This window comes from Homo sapiens, chromosome 3 (assembly GCF_000001405.40).
Source record: "Homo sapiens chromosome 3, GRCh38.p14 Primary Assembly".
In the NCBI taxonomy this organism is placed as follows: Eukaryota; Metazoa; Chordata; class Mammalia; order Primates; family Hominidae; genus Homo; species Homo sapiens.
In genome coordinates, this window is record NC_000003.12 from 186937003 (window position 1) to 186957457 (window position 20455).

At 45.0% G+C, this 20455-nt stretch overlaps 1 protein-coding gene across 2 annotated transcripts in view, besides 3 other annotated features; it reads left to right on the plus strand.

Moving 5' to 3' along the window:
* ST6GAL1 (ST6 beta-galactoside alpha-2,6-sialyltransferase 1) overlaps nt 1-20455 on the plus strand; it is a 148028-nt gene that overhangs the window by 6477 nt on the left and 121096 nt on the right. The window lies entirely within an intron of this gene.
* Nucleotides 4421-4922: an enhancer, noted in NCBI's record as "H3K4me1 hESC enhancer chr3:186659211-186659712 (GRCh37/hg19 assembly coordinates)". NCBI's record gives its function as "activates a minimal SCP1, AML or CMV promoter by ChIP-STARR-seq in naive H9 embryonic stem cells {active_cell/tissue: H9 hESC(naive)}" and the evidence as "EXISTENCE:reporter gene assay evidence [ECO:0000049][PMID:30033119]".
* Nucleotides 19039-19281: a silencer, noted in NCBI's record as "fragment chr3:186673829-186674071 (GRCh37/hg19 assembly coordinates)". NCBI's record gives its function as "represses an EF-1alpha promoter that drives an FKBP-Casp9 reporter gene in an ReSE screen in phorbol 12-myristate 13-acetate-treated (for megakaryocytic differentiation) K562 erythroleukemia cells {active_cell/tissue: K562(+PMA)}" and the evidence as "EXISTENCE:reporter gene assay evidence [ECO:0000049][PMID:32094911]".
* Nucleotides 19778-20278: an enhancer, noted in NCBI's record as "H3K4me1 hESC enhancer chr3:186674568-186675068 (GRCh37/hg19 assembly coordinates)". NCBI's record gives its function as "activates a minimal SCP1, AML or CMV promoter by ChIP-STARR-seq in naive H9 embryonic stem cells {active_cell/tissue: H9 hESC(naive)}" and the evidence as "EXISTENCE:reporter gene assay evidence [ECO:0000049][PMID:30033119]".

The window sequence follows — 20455 nt, forward strand, 5'->3', positions numbered from 1 at the left end:
ACAAAAAAACATAGAGAAACAGAAAAAAATTCCGCTATCCAAAGGCAACCCCTCTTAACAGTTGGCAATTTTCCTTCTTCTTTTTTTTTTAAATGGATATATTTTTTGTAAATGGTTGAGAACATACTGTATGTGCAGTTATGTCTCTTGCCTTCTTGCTTAACCTTCCCATATATACATTTCATGGTTAACATTGCATTAAAGCTGTATTCTTTCATTCGTCACCCATATCAGCTGTTCGGCGTCTCCAAGGATGTGTGGGCCCCTGGGATCTGATCATTTCAGTGAGGGCCTATAAAATTTCAGGAGCCTCCAACTGCCTCTGCCTTTCCCACCATTGCCTCAGGTGTTCAGCCATCACCCGTCGGTTCTTTAGAAGTCTACAGGTACTGACAGTACAGTGGGGAGAGAAGAGGCCTGCACATGGCCTTGAGTTCCAGTCTGCCCTTGTGACCTTCAAAAACTTAACTTTAATACCCCAGTCTTCAACGTCTGCATATGTTAAATGAGCAACTCCAAGGTCACTTATTAATTTATTCACCACATATTTGAGTGCCCACTCTAAACCAAAGACAAATAAGAAGAGCTTAGTTTTTTAGAAGCTCATAGTTCAAAGGAGGAGGCAGGGGTAACAAGAGATTAGTGCAGGATGCCGTGCGACCTTGAGGAGGGAGTCACCAATGACTGGAGCAGTGGGAATGGCCTCCTGCATGAGGCCACACTGGACAGCCAACCACATCTAACTTTCTCTTATTGTAATTGACACTGTGATTAAAATATCTGTGAAGAGCCAGGAGTGGTGGCTCACTCCTGTAATCCCAGCACTTTGGGAGGCTGATGCAGGCAGATCACCTGAGATCAGGAGTTCGAGACCAGCCTGGCCAACATGGTGAAACCCTGTCTCTACCAAAAATACAAAAAAACAGCCAGGCGTGGTGGCGGGTGCCTATAATCCCAGTTACTCAGGAGGCTGAGGTGGGAGAATTGCTGGAACCCAGTAGGCGGAGGTTGCAGTGAGCTGAGATCGCACCACTGCACTGCAGACTGGGTGACAGAGCAAGACTGTCTCAAAATGAAATGAAATGAAATAAAATAAAATATTCATGAAGAAATCTCTGTTCATTTTCCAGATGATTCCCATAGGGTAGTCCTAAAGTTGAAATTACTGGGTTATACTTTAAAGGGTATGACCATTTTTAAAACTTCATGGATTTAGTTCAATTACCTATAAAGTCTTAAAGTAGCTAAATATATATTGTGGGAATGGGAAAAACTAACAGCGCAAGCAAGTCGGGATTTGCTTTCTTGCCCACTATGTATCGCCTATGTAGACTTGGACAAGCTACTTAAGCTTACTAAGCTTCAATTTCCTTCTCTGTAAAATGGGGATAACAGACCTTATCTCATAGGGTGATTATGAGCATTAGATGAAATCGTGGGTGAAAGGCTCAGTACAGTGCCAGGTATACAAGAAGCATTCAGTTAAGTAATAGCTGTTATTGTTATAACTGAGGTTTTCACAAGCCGCACACTTTTGCTCCTGATATTTTTTCTTACCATGACAGCAGGCCATTGTTTGGTTTTCTGTGCTGAGGGAAGCAGAAAGTTAATTAAAATGGAAACCCCCACCAAGTGACAAGTTGAGAGAGAAAAATGATCGTTCACATGATGCATAAAAAAAGAATAAAAGGTCTTTTTTATTAGGGAAAATTTCAAACATACAAAAGCACAAAGAAGAGTGTAAGGAACCCTATATCATATCCCTTGGCTTCAACTATGACTGAAACGCATGGCTGATCCGTAACCCCATGGTCAACCCCAGATTACGTGCAAGTACATCCCAGACATCTTATCAGCCGAGCCATAGCTATTTCAGTCACATGATACATATTTGAGGCACTGAGTTGTGCTGGCTAAGAGCCTGCCTCTGCTGTCGCAGTCATGGGACTGTGTGTGTGTATGTGTGTGTAGGGAGGATTGGGAGTCAGGAGAGAGACAGAAAGTCAACCTAGGACCTTTAGGGAGGATTGGGAGTGAGGAGAGAGACAGAAAGTCAACCTGGGACCTTTTTTTTTTTTTTTTCTTTTTTGAGACAGGGTCTCGCACTGTCACCCAGGCTGGAGTGCAGTGGGATGATCATGACTTGCTGCAGTCTCTGACCTCCCAGGCACAAGCGATCCTCCTGCCTCAGCCTCCGAGTAGCTGGGACTACAGGCATGCACCACCACACCCAGTTAATTTTATTTATTTTTTTTGTAGAGATGGGTGTCTCACCGTGTTGCCCAGGCTTGAACTCCTGGGCTCAACCGATCCTCCTGCCTTGGCCTCCCAAAGTGCTGGGATTACAGGCATAAGCCACTGTGCCCAGCTTCCAACCTGGGCACTTCTTAAGCTTTACTGCCCAAGTAAGGAGGCCTTGCTGTGTCACAAATAGACAGGGTGGAAGGAGCACTGAATTCGGAGTCAGGAAACCTGATTTCAAATAAGGGCCCCACCCCTTAATGGATTTATGCTTTTAGAAAGTGACTTTTGAATTTCTTGGAGCATATTTGTAAACATTTTGTGAGTATTAAATGAGATAACCCATGTGACAGCTCAAGTGGCTCAATATGAGTTGGACCTAAATCAGACTCGAGCCCAGCCTTCCCTTCCTGAGAGGCAGCCTCCATATGCAGTTTAGGTCCCTGACTGCCACCTGCAGCCTCACCAGAATGCATTCAGGGAGCGTTGCTGCCGGTCTCTCATGCCGAAGATGTGGTGGTAGCTCAGATGAGCACCTGACACACACAACGCCCCATGCTTGCAAATCTCCCATCCCCTCTGTTAGTTAGCCCCTTCCCTCTGCTTTATGGATGAGGATGGGGGACCTAGAGAAGGTCCCAGTCCTTGGTAGCAGGCCCTCTCTCACACCCCATCTATGGGAAGACAGGGTCCCTTTTCTACCTCTGACTTTGATGATTCTTGGTCTCCTCTAACTTGCTGTTACACCCAAGTAGGAATTTTTGACTCAAATAAAATAGGAAAGTCGATCCGATTTAGTAATCAAGTCAAAGTCCTCTCCTTAATCCACTGGGACACCCATTATTTCAAGACCTGGACTGTGACTTGTGGTCTCTGGCTGTTGGTGGCTAGCTCTGTGACCTTGGACAAATGCATGCCACCCTGGGTATGCCACCTCAGAGAATCAACTCTCAGCCCTGTGCAGCCCCTTCCAGCTCTGAGATTATCAAATGAAACATACATGTAAGACTGGGAGGCTTCTTCACATAAATAATAAATGAAATGGTTTTTTTTTTAGAGTATTCAAATGGGGTAAAAAATTAACCCCTCAGCTTATGCCATTCCTCCCTCATTCCACTTCTCTTTGCAATGACTACTGTTTGCAGTTTGATGTCTGTCCTTCTAACCCCTTTGTACACATTTATATATGTATTTGTGGCTATATGCAAATACATTTTTAAAACTCAGTAGATGGATTACAATCAAACTTGTTCAACCCGTGGCGTGGGGGCCGCATGTAGCCCAGGATGGCTTTGAATGCGGCCCAACACAAATTCGTAAACTTTCTTTAAAAATTATGCGTTTTTTTGTGTTTTTCTTTTTTCTTTAATCTCATCAGCTATCATTAGTGTTAGTGTATTTTATGTGTGGCCCAAGATAATTCTTCCAGTGTGGGCCCAGGGAAGCCAAAAGATCGGACATTCCTGGCATTATACTAGTCCATTTACAAACTTGCCTTGTTCATTTTACTGTGTGTATTGGAGGTCTTCCCATGTCAGTGTTTTTTTTTTTTTTTTTCATAGCTGCATTGCATTCTATATTTTGAATGTGTTTACCTTACCAATCTTCTGTTGATGGACATTTATGTATTCCCATAAAAATATATTTCTAAGTGTTTTTAGACCTCAAACATATGGAGAGATGGTTGTAAATGTCAGTGGGTTAAATGAACCTAGTCCATCAAGTTCTGGAAAGGATGGTGAGAGAGTGGGCACAGAAACACTGGGGTCTGCACTCTGGAAAGCTGAATTGAAGGGCTCTCAGGAAGCTACCAAGAGGCTGTTTGCATGGAAGGTTATTTTTGGAGATAGCCTGCCTGGTTTGGTGTCCTCAGCTTCAAGTGCAAACACTGAGCTGCGTCATCACGTTCCCCTCCCCTTCCCACCATCCTTGGGCCTTCCAAGTTTGTTTCTGGTCTCAGGGTCAGGAACAGGACCTCGTGGGAGAACTGGCACTTAAGTGGTAGGGAGGGAGGAGAGAGAACTGAAGAAAAGGAGTGTTTGATCTCGGGCTCTGGAGGAGGAATTGTTACAGTTATATTGTACTTTGTCTGGTTGTTCAAACCTACCTGGAGTGTTATGCTTCCCTGGGTCCCCTCCAGAGAGTGATAAAATGATGCACACCCAGAAATTGGCTACTTGGATGACAGTGGCTTAGGACAACATATCGGAGGTGGAATAAATGTGGAAACTAGGACTTTCTAGTCTGCAAGAGATAAAAATAAGAGGCATCCTTTTCATGCGGAAGAAATCACACTTCATTACAGTCACACTGAGTGGCTGCTGCAGACGGGAGAAGCAAGATGGGCGGGGGGTGAGGAGGGGAAAGAGTTGCAGGAAAACAAATAAGGAAGAACTGACTTAACGGAGCTACCCAACAATGGAACAAGCTGTGTTACAAGGAAGCCACTGCCGTGTTATAAAGTGATCCAAGCAAAAGTTGCAAGTAGGCTGGGCACGGTGGCTCATGCCTGTAATCCCAGCACTTTGGGAGGCCGAGGCAGGCGGATCATGAGGTCAGGAGATAGAGACCATCCTAGCTAACACAGTGAAACCCCGTCTCTACTAAAAATACAAAAAATTAGCCCGGCGTGGTTGTGGGTGGCTGTAGTCCCAGCTACTCGGGAGGCGGAGGCAGGACAATGGCGTGAACCCAGGAGGCCGAGCTTGCAGTGAGCCGAGATCATGCCACTGCACTCCATCCTAGGCGACAGAGCAAGACTCCGTCTCAAAAAAAAAAAAAAAGTTGCAAGTAAACTTGTTTGCCATCAGAGGACTTCTGCATTGCAGAGGGGTTGACCTCAATGGCCACTTAGGCCCCCTGCAGCTTTGAGAGTCTGTGACTATGGGGCAAGAAGCAGAAAGGTGCAAACTAGAACTAAAGGGGTGGGACAAGTTATAGACAATGTAGTGAAGTAGTTTTCACCTGCTCTGAAAAGGTGGAATAAGATGGAAGCCATCAAAGGAGGCTTAAGCCTTGTTTCCCTTGGATCTTGGCAACTCTCTCCCTGTTCTGTCCTTGGCTTCAGCTCCCTTTGACCTTGTATTCTTAAATTATTTCCACAGGAATAAATACCTTACGTACACTTTAGATGATCAGGAAATCTGGCACCTGGAAAAGAACTGCATGTCCCAGGAGGATGGTTGTAAGTTTTTTCATTGCAGTCTTTGTAAATCTGCATCCGTCTGTTGGTTGATGGAGTTTTCCTTAGTACAGTGCCGAGCTTCCAGCTTTAATTTTAGGAATGCTGTACCCTTTACAACCTCTCGATGGTCCTCTGTGCTGGAATCGAGGGCACCCACCGTGTTTAAGGCTGATCCCTTTCTTTCCTGCAAGTGAAGAAGAATGTTTTGACTTAAGTCTTAACCAAGTCTGGTGAAGGAAACGTGGCAAAATTTACCATCTTCTGGGCTTTTGCTGTGTGCCTGGCCCTGATTAGGCATGTTGTGTGTTCTCTCATCCAATCATCACAGGAAGATCTGCTGTGTCGGTATCATTAGCTCCATTTTGCAAATAAGAAAACCAAGCTTCAGAAAGGGCTAGAAACTCATCTAAAGTTTCAGGTGCCCACCACTACGCCCAGCTAATTTTTGTATTTTTAGTAGAGATGAGGTTTCGCCGTGTTGGCCAGGCTGGTCTCAAACTGCTCACCTCAGGTGATCCACCGACCTCGGCCTCCCAAAGTGCTGGGATCACAGGTGTGAGCCACTGTGCCGGGACTGCAGTGCTCATTTTTAGAACATAGATCCAAATAATCCCCATAGTCTGTTGCTTCCAGAGCTTAGTTGAAGGCAGATATGCACATATTAATTACAATATAGTGTGATAAATATTATGATTTGGGTGTGCACAGATGATGGGAAGAAGATCCAGTAAGTTTGGGAAAGATTTCTGGAAGAGGCAACACACAAGCTGTGTCTTAGAAAGTAGTAGCTGTTAGCCTCTGGGAAATGAGCATTTTTGAGGCAGGGGAAGGCTGCAGGAGCAAAGATTTGAGGGTGAGAAATGGCTCATTGTATATGTCAGGGAAACACTAGCAGGTTGATATTCCTGGAGAGAAATGCATGAGGCATGAAGTGGCGGGACTTGAGGCTGGAACCATTACATGTGTTATTTAATAGAATTTTCATAACACTGCATACACTATTATTATCTCAATTTTTTATTTTATTTTATTTATTTATTTTTAGACGGAGTCTCGCTCTTGCTCAGGCTGGAGTGCAGTGGTGCGATCTCGGCTCACTGCAACCTCCGCCTCCCGGGTTCAAGCCATTCCCCTGTCTCAGCCTCCTGAGTAGCTGGGATTACAGGTACACACTACCATGCCTGGCTAATTTTTGTATTTTTAGTAGACATGGGGTTTCACCATGTTGGTCAGGCTGGTCTCAAACTCCTGACCTCGTGATCCGCCCGCCTCAGCCTCCCAAAGTGCTGGGATTACAGGCATGAGCCACCATGCCCGGCCTATTATCTCAGATTAATAGGCGAGGAAACAAAGGTTGAAGGAGATTCAGTGACTTGCTCAAAGTCAGACCGTGAGTGTGTTGAGTTGCGTGGTCTTGAACATAGGCCTGCTTGCCTCCAGAGCCCATGTCTCAGCCTCCACTTCAGTGCCTGCAGAGGCAGGCTGTGAAAGTCTGGCTTGCTGGCTAAGACGATTGTTCCCTCTCTTTTAATGTTTCAAGGACAACATCCCTTGCCGAATCCTCTTCTTTCAACCTGCCTCATGGTGTTACCCAACTTTTTGTTAAATTGGGACTAGTGGGTCTGATGTTGACAGGTTTTCTGAGTCTTGGTTCTAGGGTTCACCTTCCTTTTTATCCAGCCAATCAGTAATCCAGAAGTCTTCAAATAAAATCTTTATGTGCCCAACCACGTGTGAAGAGGGAGAAGATTCATCTCGTTTCTCAAAAGATCCAGGTTTATTTGTGAGCCCAGGTAGTGCCTGCGAATCCTTTAGTTTGGAGAAACACTTTGGGGACTGGAACAGGAACAATCACAGCTGGCTGGAGGAACGTGGGGTAATGGGCCTTGAGCTGTCCCTTTAAGGATGAGTAGGAGTTGGGAAGGTGGAGGGCATAACATATGAGCAAAATTATTGTCTCACTTAATGGTGAATGGGACATCTTTTGCCTATTCTCCCCATCCTCCAAGATAATTCCTGGGTTAGAGTTGGCTCTCGGGTAGGAGAGGCAGTATGGGGAATTCATTCATGCAAAATCAAGATTATTGAAAACTAATTAATTGGATCCCAAAGACAAGATGATGAAACTACTCAATGAAATAAAAAAGGTAATTACAGAGCCAAGGAAGACATTGGGGATAAAAACAATGTCATTACAGAAAAAGTTACCAGGAAACATAACAGAATCTGTTGAAAATGAAATTGCTAACAGAGAAGGAAGGCTTGAGGAAAATCACAGCCTATGCTGAGAAAAAAGATAACGCACTTAAATCAGAGATCTAAAGATCATACAAAGGTGGGCCTTCAAAAGGGTAATTGGAGAGTCTGCGGAGGCACTCGTCGCTTTTGCTCATATTCCATTGGCCAAGACTTAGTCACATAGATAGACACACCTGGCTGTAAGTAACTCTGGGAAAAAGTCTCCAGCTGAGAGGCCATATGCCTTCTTAAAACTCAGTTTTGGGGAAAGCTTTCTACTACTGAAAGGAAAACCTGGATATTGGGATCAACTAGTATCTGCTTTAAGGGAAGTCATGTTGGTCTCAGACATGACTGAACAGGTTTACAGAGGCCAGGTGAGGTGGCTCATGCCTAAAATCCTAGCACTTTGGGAGGCAGAAGCCTGCGGATCGCTTGAGGCCAGAAGTTTGAGACCAGCTTGGGCAACATAGCGAGACCCTAATGAAAATCATCAGCTGGGTGTGGTAGTGCATGCCTGTAGTCCTAGCTACTTGGAAGACTGATGTGGGAGGATCCCTTGCCCAGGAGCTCGGGGCTGCAGTGAGCTATGATTGTGCCACTGTGCTCTGGGCTGGGTGAAAGAGCAAGACCCTGTCTCTATTTAAAAAAAAAAAAAAAAAATTGTTTACAGAGTTCTGGGGCAAAGGCAATGGGACTGAAGAATTTTACACTCAAATTACTTTGCAAGTATGTCAGGCAGACATCCTCACACTTGCAAGAATTTAGGGAATCTAGCACTGAAGAGGCCTTCTCAGGAAACCCACTTGAGGAAGAAAAAGATTAATCGACAAACATACTTAGAAGGCATAGTGGAAGGTCAATTGGTGAACTCTTAATCCGTTCAAATAGAGAAGCAAAGCTAAGCAGGGGCAGGGATGGGCAGTGAGGACTAAGGAACAGAATGTGAGGAAGTAGAAAGAATATACCAGAAATAGGGGGTTAGGGGAGACGTGAGGAGATGTTAAGTGCTAACTTTAATTAGAAGTGTACCTTTTCCGGCTGGGCACGGTGGCTCATGCCTGTAATCTCAGCACTTTGGGAGGCCAAGGCGGGTGGATCACGAGATCAGGAGATCGAGACCATCCTGGCTAACACAGTGAAACCCTGTCTCTACCAAAAAAAAATACAAAAAAATTAGCCAGGCGTGGTGGTGGGCACCTGCAGTCTCAGCTACTTGGGAGGCTGAGGCAGGAGAATGGTGTGAACCTGGGAGGCGGAGCTTGCAGTGAGCCGAGATCGCGCCACTGCACTCCAGCTTGGGTGACAGAGCAAGACTCCGTCAAAAAAAAAAAAAAAAAAAAGAAGGGTACCTTTTCTGGCCGGGCGCGGTGGCTCATGCCTGTAATCCCAGCACTTTGGGAGGCCAAGCGGGTGGATCACCTGAGGTCAGGAGTTCGAGCCCAGCCTAACCAACATGGTGAAACCCCGTCTCTACGAAAAATACAAAAATTATTTTGTACTGGGCATGGTGGCGGGCGCCTGTAATCTCGGCTGCTCGGTGGGGCTGAGGCAGAAGAGTGGCTTGAACCCAGGAAGCGGAGGTTGCAGTGAGCTGAGGTCGTGCCACTCTAGCCTGGGCGACAGAGTGAGATTCCATTTCAAAAAAAAAAAGTGTTCCTTTTCCTTATAAAATAAAATAATAAAATTAGCTATTTTATTTTACTTTTAAAAAACTTATTATTATTATTTTTTGAGACAGTGTCTCATTCTGTCACCTAGGCTGGAGTGCAGTGGCGCGGTCACTGCTCACTGTAGACTCGATCTCCCGGGTTCAAGTGATCCTCCCGCCGGCCTCCGAAAGTGTTGGGATTACAGGTCTGAGCCACTGCTCCTGACCCAAAACAGCTATTGTGTAAAGCAATCCCCATCTATCCTTTCACGCATGCTTTCTTCCATCTTTCACACTTCTATCCATATACAGATATAGAGACTTGAGGAATGATACTAATTCATTTATTTTTTCCTGGATAGAGGGCTCTTGGGTGATTTTTAGCTCTATATAGTTTTGCATATTGATTGACATTTTATAAATAATGAACTAGTCTTACTTAAATCAGACCACTGAAGCTATTCTGAAAGGCACCATTAAAAACTGGTTCCTGGGGAGTGAAGAGTGGGAACGGAGATACAGATGGATGAACACTGTGGGGGATTTGAGAGTCAGTTATGCAAACACCTCACTCTAGGCAGAACAAAATACGTTATCAATCAGATGGACAGCTGGGGATTGGGGCCCACACGACAATGGAAAAGGTTTCACCCAGGAGACCGATGGAGTTTTGATAGGTGGAGAATGGGAGAAAGGACCTTTCTGGCCTGGGGGCAGCAGGAACACAGGCCTGGGGATGAAGGGGCGTTGGCATGTCTGGGGTTACTGGGAGCAGTTTGTTGGTGGTTCGTGGTTGGAGAAGCAAGGATGAAGGAAAACATGGCTGCTGTTAATACAGTGTGCACAGCACACTAGATACTACACGTAGATATCTCTAGGTTGCCCAACAACCCTATAGCACAGGTACAATTATCTCTACTGTACACATGAGGGAACTGAAGTTAAGGGTGAGAGATCTGTGCTTGCTTCAGCAGCACATACACGAAAAGTGCAATGGTACAGAGAAGGTGAGCATTAAAAAATAGTGATGTTTATCTGCCCAGAGGCGCATGGTGGTGAGACTGATTTGAGCTCCCTGTGCTGCCTGCACAGCCATGCCCATGGTTTTTCTATTGTGCTATGATTTGTGGTGCACAGAGACCGGAATCAGCCACCTTTATGAAACACAAAATGTAAAAATAATTGTATAGGTAAATATTTTATAAGTAAGTCTATTTTATACATTTACGTTTATGTTTAGATTGGTATTTATTATTATTTACATTTACCTATAAAATAAAACATGGTTTAGATGTAAATTTTGTAGGTAAATTTTTAGGTAAATATAAGAGCCTACATGATGGTCCAGACTCCACCATCCAGCAGCCGTGTGGCCCCAGGCTACTTAATCAGAACCCTAATTTCCTTGCCTATAGAAGGGGATAATAATTGTGCCACTGCCTAGCCTGAGATTAGTTTTTATGTTCAAATTAGATCATAGACGTTAAGGATGAGACAGTTTGAAAGAGGCACACAGAAGGGTTTGTTATTGCGGACACACCCCTTGCTCTGCTGAGAGCATACATCTGTTCAAGCACCCACAGGTGTCTGTGAAAATGTTCACAGTCATAGACACAGCCCCTACAGGGTTGACACAAACAACCTGGTCAACAGGCAAGAAACTGCTTCCCTGACTCAGTTAACCAGCTGGAGGCTGTAATGAAAGGCAGCAGAGAGTGAGGGAGGGAGGAGGCAGGGAGTGTGTCTGGCTCTCTCCCTGCCTGGGTGAGAATCCGCTCTTGCCTGCCTTCCTGGTTGCTGGGGAATTTCTGGGCCAGAGTTGCGTCGGGATGGCTGTCAACAGCTTGGTGAGGGTGGAGGAGGCTGTTCCAGACGTGCCAAGCTACAGGAATGAATGTTGGAGCTGCCACGCCGGCAGGCCCTGCCATGTCTGGTAGACGCCAGTGGTCTGAAAGAGGGACCAGGAAGGATAGGGTTGTCAGGGGACTTCGGTGGCCAGCTTTATTCTCCAGAAGTACCGATGAGGACAAAGCAAGGCCCTGACCTCAAAGAAATTGGGCTTCTGACAACACTTATCAAACTGGGCGGGCAGCCAGACCTCTGCTCTGAGCTAGTGTGGCTGGAGGCACCTGACGTTTGCTCCGGGAAGGATCAGGATGGTTGTAGGGTGTGGGCTGGGGCCTGGTATGCTCTTGGGGGTTCAGAAACTCTAGTGTGTGTGTGTGTGTGTGTGTGTGTGTGTGTGTGTGTGTGTCTGTGTGTGTATGTGGTCGTTGGAGAGAGACCCAGGCTATTCCATATCGCTGAAGAGATCCGTTTCTTCCTTATCTCACTGGTCTCTCTGCTATACCAACACCTTTGGCTCAGCCTCAGCTCCAGCCAGCCTCAGTTCCGGAGGAGCCCCCTCAAATTCATGGCCCACAAAGGAGAGAGAAGACCTCCGATCTCTTGTGCCATGCTCACTATGCTATGTGAAATTTGCTATGTTAGACCTTGACATCCTGGATGGTGGGGATGATGACTGGTTTCTCTGCACAGCCCTGGGCCCAGTATCCTGCCCAGCCCTTAGGAGTCCTCATGGAATGAGCTCAGCTCCCGCGATGCTCCTGTTTGTCCACTGAGGTAAGAACACATCCAGCCACCAGTGAGTTGAGTGGGTGTTCTCTCGGTAAGATCAAGGTGTGACAGCAGGCAGTGAATTTGCAGTAGCCCGTGGTGGGAAGCCCGTGAGGCTGTAGTGGGCCCTCCTGCTCCACCAGAGAGTCATTTTTCCTACCTGCCAATTCTAGCCTTGGAAATAAAAGCCAAGCAGGCGGGTGAAAGAGGGAAAATTCTCTGGGATGGTTCATGGATCTGAGCCCTGGAGGAGAGTCAAGCTTGGGACCTTGTTCTTCTTGTCTTATTTTGGGAACCAGGGTCATAGGAATTTGTTCCAGGTGAGAGAGGGAAGAAGGCAGCTAGGGAGCTGTGACGTGGCAGCCAGGCTGAGTTATCAGTTACCTAAGAGTCTGCCTCAGGGATTGCCTTTGTGGACTGCACAGTGCTGGTTCTGGGAGGAGGCTGGCCTTGGGCCTGAGCTGGAGGTGGTGGCTGACAGTGTGAGGAATGAATCCCCAGAAGATGATTCCTGCCAGAGGGCTTGTGACGGCTCCTTTTTTGCTTTTCACAATGAACATCTTATTCTGGGCTGCAAATTTGGATGAGGGGAAAAAACTGGCCAGGAGGAGATGAACCAAAGGCGTCTCACAGGGAATCCTTCTGTACTTGAAGAGTCCTGCCCTTGTCTCCCCAGCCAGATCCAGTGACTCACAGTAGGAGGGCTTGGAGGCAACTCACTGCCTTCCCTGTTAACTACCGTTTGCAATGTCACCTTCCTCAGAAAGACCTTATCATTCGGAAAAAAAACCACATGCTTTGTAGCCAGACAGACTTGGGTTTAAATTCCAGATATGCCACTTCTCAGGTGTGCAAGCTTGGCAGCTTGGCCTCTCTGGTCCTCAGTTTCCTGTCTTAGTCTATATTCATCCTTTCTGCCTTGTAGCATTGGTGTGAGTCCTAGAGGTAGTGCCTAACCTAGTTTTGGGCACATGGTTGGAGACCAATAAATCGTGGTTATTTTCAATATCACAGCACATGTGAACGGTTATTCTCAGTTATTGTCCACCTGATGGGCCACTTTGCTAGGGGCTGTGAATAGAAAGAGAAATGAGATACAGCCTCTCCCTGGAGGAGCTCTCCATCTAGGAGGAGAGCCAGGCCTGTGGAAGGGGGCACAAAGGAAAGCAAGTTGCACAAGCTGTGGAGGGAGCTGGAGGCAGGGGCAGAGAAGGCCAGAAAAAGAGATGATATCCTCAAAGGCTTTAAAAGAATGAAGAAGAATCTGCCAGGCAGTTGGGGCGGGGGCAGCATTGGATCCACTCATAAGGGAGGGCAGAGCTAACAGTGGAGGCTCCCTGGACAGGTGAGCCCTCGGGCTTCCCCCTCTCTGCTGGCATTTGATCCTACTCAGTTTGGGTCAGGATAGAGTCTGCAGTCATTTTCCAGCAGGTGGTTTTACATGGGCAGGAATCCAGCCAGGCCTGACTGGGGGAGAGGGTGTTGAGGTGGCACTTGTCATCCCAGTGATCTCTCCATAGGTATCTGGGCTCCAGGCTTAGGGCTAGGAGCAGGAGTGGGCCTCCTCAGAGGGAGTGGGACAGATTACCAGGCAGGAACTGCAAAGGCAGAGCTCACTAAAGTGCAGGCTCCAGGTCATGTGGATGGAGGGGCTTCACAAAATGGTACAAAGCGGTTGTTATCAAATTCAGACAGCAGGTAGGTGGGAGGAGGGGTGACCTGTGACTTCTGTGATTTCTGGGAAGTCCACTGACCCTTTATGCAGTGCTCAGTGTCAAATAAAAAGAACCGGAGAAGACCACCTTGATAGTTAAGGATATACATTTGTGGTTTTAGTTATTCACAAATGACTCTAAAGTTCTGTGATATGATATGATTGGGTGAATCATTTGGATGAGATAAAAACAGGATTTTATTTGCTGCATGCATGTTGTGTGTCACCTAGGTGGTGATAAAAACAAACGTAGAAGCTTTCATTTACTGAACTCTTACCATGTCTGGGCATGCTATATGCTTTACAAGTATCTCATTTAGCCCTGGCTAAATCCAGCTCTTTGAACACCATACCTACTCCACAAATCTGAGTGTGACTGTAGAAAAGCATAGTGTCATCCTGAATGGTCCCACTCTAATTCTTTTTTGTTTATTTTTTTTGAGACAGAGTTTTGTTTTTGTCCCCCAGGCTGCAGTGCTATGGCGTGATCTCGGTTCACTGCGTGCAGCCTCTGCCTCCTGGGTTCAAGCGATTCTCCTGCCTCAGCTTCAGGCACCTGCCAACGTGACCCGCTCATTTTTTGTATTTTTAGTAGAGATAGGGTTTCACCATGTTGGTCAGGCTGGTCTCGAACTCCTGACCTCAGGCAATCCGCCCACATCGGCCTCCCAAAGTGCTGGGATTACAGGCATGAGCCACTGCGCCAGGCCGTAATTCTTGGCCATGACTCTTAAGGGGACATTGGTGTTGTAGGCCATGTCGCTTCATTTTGTTGGTCCATTGGTTCTCAACCCTGGCTGTCATTAGTGTTACTGGTGGGAATTATAACACGTATTGCTGCCTGAATTCCTCTCAAACTAACGAAATCAAAGTCTTTGTGAGGTTGACCTGGGCACCAGTATCTCTTTGTTAACCTGTGCTGTTAATTCCAATGAATGATAGTTGAGAAGCATGACCATTCCTCTGTCATCTAGATGACTGTTTCGCACCTTTTTCTCTCTCTTCAAGTCTCTAACACCTTCCCTATCCATACTCTCAGTTGATACCTTGTTTTAAACTTACCTGAAAAAATAATGGCAGTCGGAGGAAAACTTTCATACCTTTTGTCTTAGTCCATTCAGGCTGTGATAACAAAATACCGTAAACAGGGTGGTTTATAAACAAAAGAAATGTATTGCTCATAGTTCTGGAGGCTGGGAAGTCCAAGTTGAAGGCACCAGCAGATTCGGCGTCTGGTGAGAGCTTGCTTCCTAATTTATGGATGGTGCTTTTTCACCGTGTCCTCATGTGCTAACAGGGCTCACTAGTTCTCCAGAGCCTCTTTTATAAGGGTACTACTGTATGAGTCCATGTTGCCTTGCTATAAAGGAAAACCTGAGACTGAGTAATTTATAAAGAAAAGAGGTTTATTTGGCTCATGATTCTGCAGGCTGTACAGGCATGGCACCCACATCATCTTCTGGTGAGGCTTCAGGAAGCTTTTACTCACGGCAGGAGGTGAAAAGGGAGGGGGTGTGCCAATTTTTATGCTCCTGGAGAGAGTTGTCTGCATTTGCACCCTGCACTCCCTCTTCTCTCATTCTCATTTAAACTCAACATGATCAGTCTTTTGTACCCATCACACCACCAAAACCATACCGGTCAGGCTCACCAGTATCCTCTCTTGCCAAATCCAGTGGTCAGATCTCAGTCCCTATCTTGACTGATCAGCAACTTTTGATACAATTGACCATTCCATCCTCCTTGAAATAGTTTCTTCTCTTGGCTTCTGGAACATCACTGTCTTTGCTTTTCCTCTTCTCTCACTAGGTTCTCCTTCTCAGTTCCTTTTCTTGGCTCATTTTCTTTTCTTTTCTTTTCTTTTTTTATTTTTATTGAGATGGAGTCTCACTCTCTTACCCAGGCTGGAGTGCAGTGGCGCGATCTCAGCTCACTGCAACCTCCGCCTCCCGGGTTCAAGCGCTTCTCTGTTGGCTCATTTTCACTTGGTCACTGTGGAGTGCCTCTGGGAGTGGCCCTTGGACTTGGCCTCTTCTCTGTCTCCTCATGCCCTGGCCATCTCATATCATCAATTTCCTGACAACCCTCAATTTATATTTCCAACCCACACCTTTCCCCTGAGTTCCATGCTCAGATATTCAACCATCTACTTGACAAGTTTCCTTAGACATCTAATATACATCTCAAATATGACAAGCCCAAAATCGAACTGCTGCTTTTCTCCCTAAAAGAGCCATCCTCATTTCAGTGGACAACAATTTCATCTTTCCATCTTTTAGGGCTTAAACTCTGGAGTCATTCTAAATTCTCTTTCTCTCATGCTGCACCCACTCTGTTAGCAAACCATGTCAGCTGTGCTTTCACAATAAATTAAGAAACAACTACTTAATTCATCAAATTCATGTTGGTCCAGGACAGAAGACCTGTTCTTTCTCTTAGAATCGTTTCACAACTGAGCCTCCTGCTTGTAGTCTTGCTCCTGTGGTATGTTCTCAAAACAGTAACCAGAGTGATCATTTTAAAAGCTGTAGTGATGTGTCATTCTTCCGCTCAAAAACCAGGAAAGGCTTCCTCTTTTACTCAGAGCTTAGAAAGGCCTACAGGATTCTGTGTGACCCAGCCTTCAGACCCTGCAGACTTCATCTCCTGCTCTTTTCCACCGCTTCATTCTGCTTCACCTCACTGAGCCTACTCCTCAGATATAAAGCACACTTTGGTCTCAGAGCCTTTCCACTGCTTCCTCCAGGCAGGACACCTTCCTTCATGTATCCTATTGTTTTCGTCTCTTCTTCAGGTTTCTATTTAGATGTCACCTTGTCAAACAGGCCATTTGACAGCCTTATATAAGATTATAATCTCCTGCCTGTCTCCTCCCACCGACTTGGCTCTCTCCCTTTTATCCTTCCTTGTTGCTGTTCAATAGCGTAGGTGGCCATCTGAGTTACTACCCTGTGTCTTTTCTCACTAGGAACTTGCTTCCATGAGGGCAAGGATGTTATCTCTTTTGCTCACAGCTATTTCTTTAGGACCCAGAGCAATGCCTCAGGTATCATAGGCATAATCCACATTTGTTGGCTGAATTTAACAAAATCCTCACAATGACATTTCAAAATTAGTTGGAATAACCCAAAATTTATACATGAAGAAACTGAGACACAGAGAGGTTTTTTTTTTTTTTTTAATTTTATTTTATTTTAAGTTCCAGGATACATGTGTAGGATGTGCAGGTTTGTTACATAGGTAAACATGTGCCATGGTGGTTTGCTGCCCCTATCAACCCATCACCTAGGTATTAAGCCCCACATGCATTAGCTATTTATCCTGATGCTCTCCCTCCCCCAGGCCCCCTGACAGGCCCCAGTGTGTGTTGTTCCCCTCCCTGTGTCCATGTGTTCTTATTGTTTAGCTCCCACTTATAAGTGAGAACATATGGTGTTTGATTTTCTCTTCCTGTGTTAGTTTGCTGAGGATAATGGCTTCCAGCTCCATCCATGTCCCTGCAAAGGACATGATCTCTTTCCTTTTTATGGCTGCATAGTATTCCGTGGTGTATATGTACCACATTTTCTTTATCCAGTGTATCACTGATGGACGTTTGGGTTGATTCCATATCTTTGCTATTGTGAATAGTGCTGCGATGAACATATGCGTGCATGTATCTTTATAATAGAAGGATTTATATTCCTTTGAGTATATACTCAGTAATGGGATTGCTGGGTTACATGGTATTTCTGGTTCTAGATCTTTGAGGACTCACCACACTGTCTTCCACAATGGTTGAACTAATTTACATTCCCACCAACAGTGTAAAAGCGATCTTATTTCTTCATAGCCTCACCAACATCTGTTGTTTCACGGCTTTACTAATTGCCATTCTGACTGGCATGAGATAGTATCTTTTTGTGGTTTTGATTTGCATTTTTCTAATGATGCATGGTGTTGAGCATTTTTTCATATGTTTGTTGGCCACATAAATGTCTTATTTTGAGAAATGTCTGTTTATGTCCTTTGCCCACTTTTTAATGGGTTTTTTTTTTCTTGCAAATTTGTTTAAATTCCTTGTAGATTCTGGATATTAGAGCTTTGTCAAATGGATAGATTAGATTGCAAAAATTTTCTCCCGTTCTGTAGGCTGTCTGTTCACTCTAATGATAGTTTCTTTTGTTGTGCAGAAGCTCTTTAGTTTAATCAGATCCCATTTGTCAATTTCTGCTTTTGTTGTAATTGCTTTTGATGATTTTGTCCTGAAATCTTTGCCTGTGCTGATGTCCTGAATGGTATTGCCTACATTTTCTTCTAGGGTTTTTATAGTTTTGGGTTTTACATTTAAGTCTTTAATCCATCTTGAGTTAATTTTTGGGTAAGGTATAAGGAATGGGTCCAGTTTCAATTTGCTGTGTATGGATAGCCAATTTTCCCAGCACCATTTATTAAATAGGGAATCCTTTTCCCATTGCTAGTTTTTGTCAGGTGTGGCAAAGATCAGATGGTTATAGATGTGTGGTCTTATTTCTGAGATCTCTGTGCTGTCCCATTGGTCTGTGTGTCTGTTTCTGTACTAGTACCATGCTGTTTTGGTTACTGTAGCGTTGTAGTATAGTTTGAACTCAGGTGGCTGGATGCCTCCAGCTTTGTTCTTTTTGCTTAGGATTGTCTTGGCTATATGGACTCTTTTTTGGTTCCATGTGAATTTTAAAGTAGTTTTTTTTCTAATTCTGTGAAGAATGTCAATGGTAGTTTAATGGGAATAGCATTTAATCTATTAATTATTTTGGGTGGTATGGCCATTTTCATGATATTGATTCTTCCTATCCACAAGCACGGAATGTTTTTCCATTTGTTTGTGTCTTCTCTTTTTTTTTTCTTTTCTTTTGAGATGGAGTGTCACTCTTGTCACCCAGGCTGGAGTGCAGTGGTGTGATCTTGGCTTATTGCAACCTCCACCTCCCGGGTTCAAGCGATTCTCTTGCCTCAGCCTCCTGAGTAGTTGGGACTACAGGTGCGTGCCACCATGCCCAGCTAATTTTTGTATTTTTAGTAGAGATGGGATTTCACCAGGTTGGCCAGGATGGTCTTGATCTCTTGACCTTGTGATCCACCCACCTCAGCCTCCCAAAGTGCTGGGATTACAGGCGTGAGCCACCATGCCCGGCCTGTGTCCTCTCTTATTTCCTTGAGCAGTGGTTTGTAGTTCTCCTTGAAGAGGTCCTTCACTTCCCTTGTTAGGGGTATTCCAAGGTATTTTATTCTCTTTGTAGCAATTGTGGATGGGAGTTCATTCATGATTTCGCTCTCTGCTTGTGTTTTGCTGGTGTATAGGAATGCTTGTGATTTTTGAGGCGCAGAGAGGTTAAACAACTTTTTCAGAGTAACACAGCTTGCTAGTGTAGAACTAGGACTCAAACCTGCCAAGTGACTGTGTCGTTAGATCGTCTCTCTGTGGAGCCTGGCCTTCCCCCTGCACCCACATCTCAACTGCCTCATTTTTTTCATGTCTTGTTGCAAGCAGCCGGTCCCACAGAGTGAGAAAAATCCCTGTGAAAAATGTCGCAAGTGTGACTGGAGGTGTGGGAAATGCATACACAAACAAGCCCTTATCTGCAACTTTCAAGTCCAAAAATTTGTGAAAGTCAAGCTTTATTCTTAACCCATTTGGTGGCAAAACCTGATTTGGACTGATGTGAGGCTATTTATAAATCTATGCCTGTAAAATGTTTGTGTTTGTTTTTTTTTCTTCCTGGTAAATTAGTATTTCCTTTAAGGCTCTTTCCAGGAACATGCTCAGTTTTAAGACCCGATTAAGATCAGGCACAGCAGGCCAGGCTAAGAGGGGCATGTGTGAAATGCAGTTCTATACCAGAGGGAATGAGGGAAAGTCCACATGCTCACCAGCGAGGCCTCTCGCTGCTCCCAGCACTTTTTCTGCTTCTGTCACACAGTGCTGGATACTAGAGTCAAATTCTGCTTTCCCTAGTCATGAGGCTAGAGGAGTCTTTCTGCATAAACTTAAGAGCCCAAGAGAAAAAGCCTATAGATATTGATATTTAGGGTGTTCCAAACAAAATTTACAGCTGACTCACAATCACCCTCCCGTAAGATCCACCAGTTCAGAAGCACTGATCATGCACACAGAACATCCGGTCAGTTTTTAGTGTCTCACTTTTCAATTTAAAAAGACAGCTAACGATCACCAGATATTTGAGAAAAGTTTGAAACATGAAAGGCAGAAATTAAAAGAGACAACAACAGCACTAGAAACTCACAAGAAATAGAGAAAATATAGGGAGCAGAAGAAAACTTCACAAAACCTGTAATTACTAGTCTAAGAGAGATAAGAGAATATGTTGCATTAATAAAATAAAAGCAATGTGCAACAAAGAGGAGTTTCAGAGACTAAGAAAGAACTTTTGGAAATTAAAAGTGTGATAGAAGAATAAATCAGTAGAGGGTTTGGAATATAGAATTGAAGAAAACTTACAGAACCTTGCAGAAAGTCAAAGAAAGAAAGAAAATGTGCTGGGCGCGGTGGCTCATGCCTGTATTCCCAGAACTTTGGGAGGCCAAGGTGAGTGGATCATTTGAACCCAAGAGTTTGAGACCAGCCTGGCCACATGGCAAAACCCCACCTCTACTCAAAAATACAAAAATTAGCCAGACATGGTGGTGCACGCCTATAGTTCCAGCAACTTGGGAGGCTGAGATGGGAGGATCACTTGAGCCAAGGAGGTTGAGGTTGCAGTGAGCTGAGGTTGTACCACTGCACTCCAGCCTGGGCAACAGAGTGGGACCCTGTCCCTCCCGCCTAAAAGAA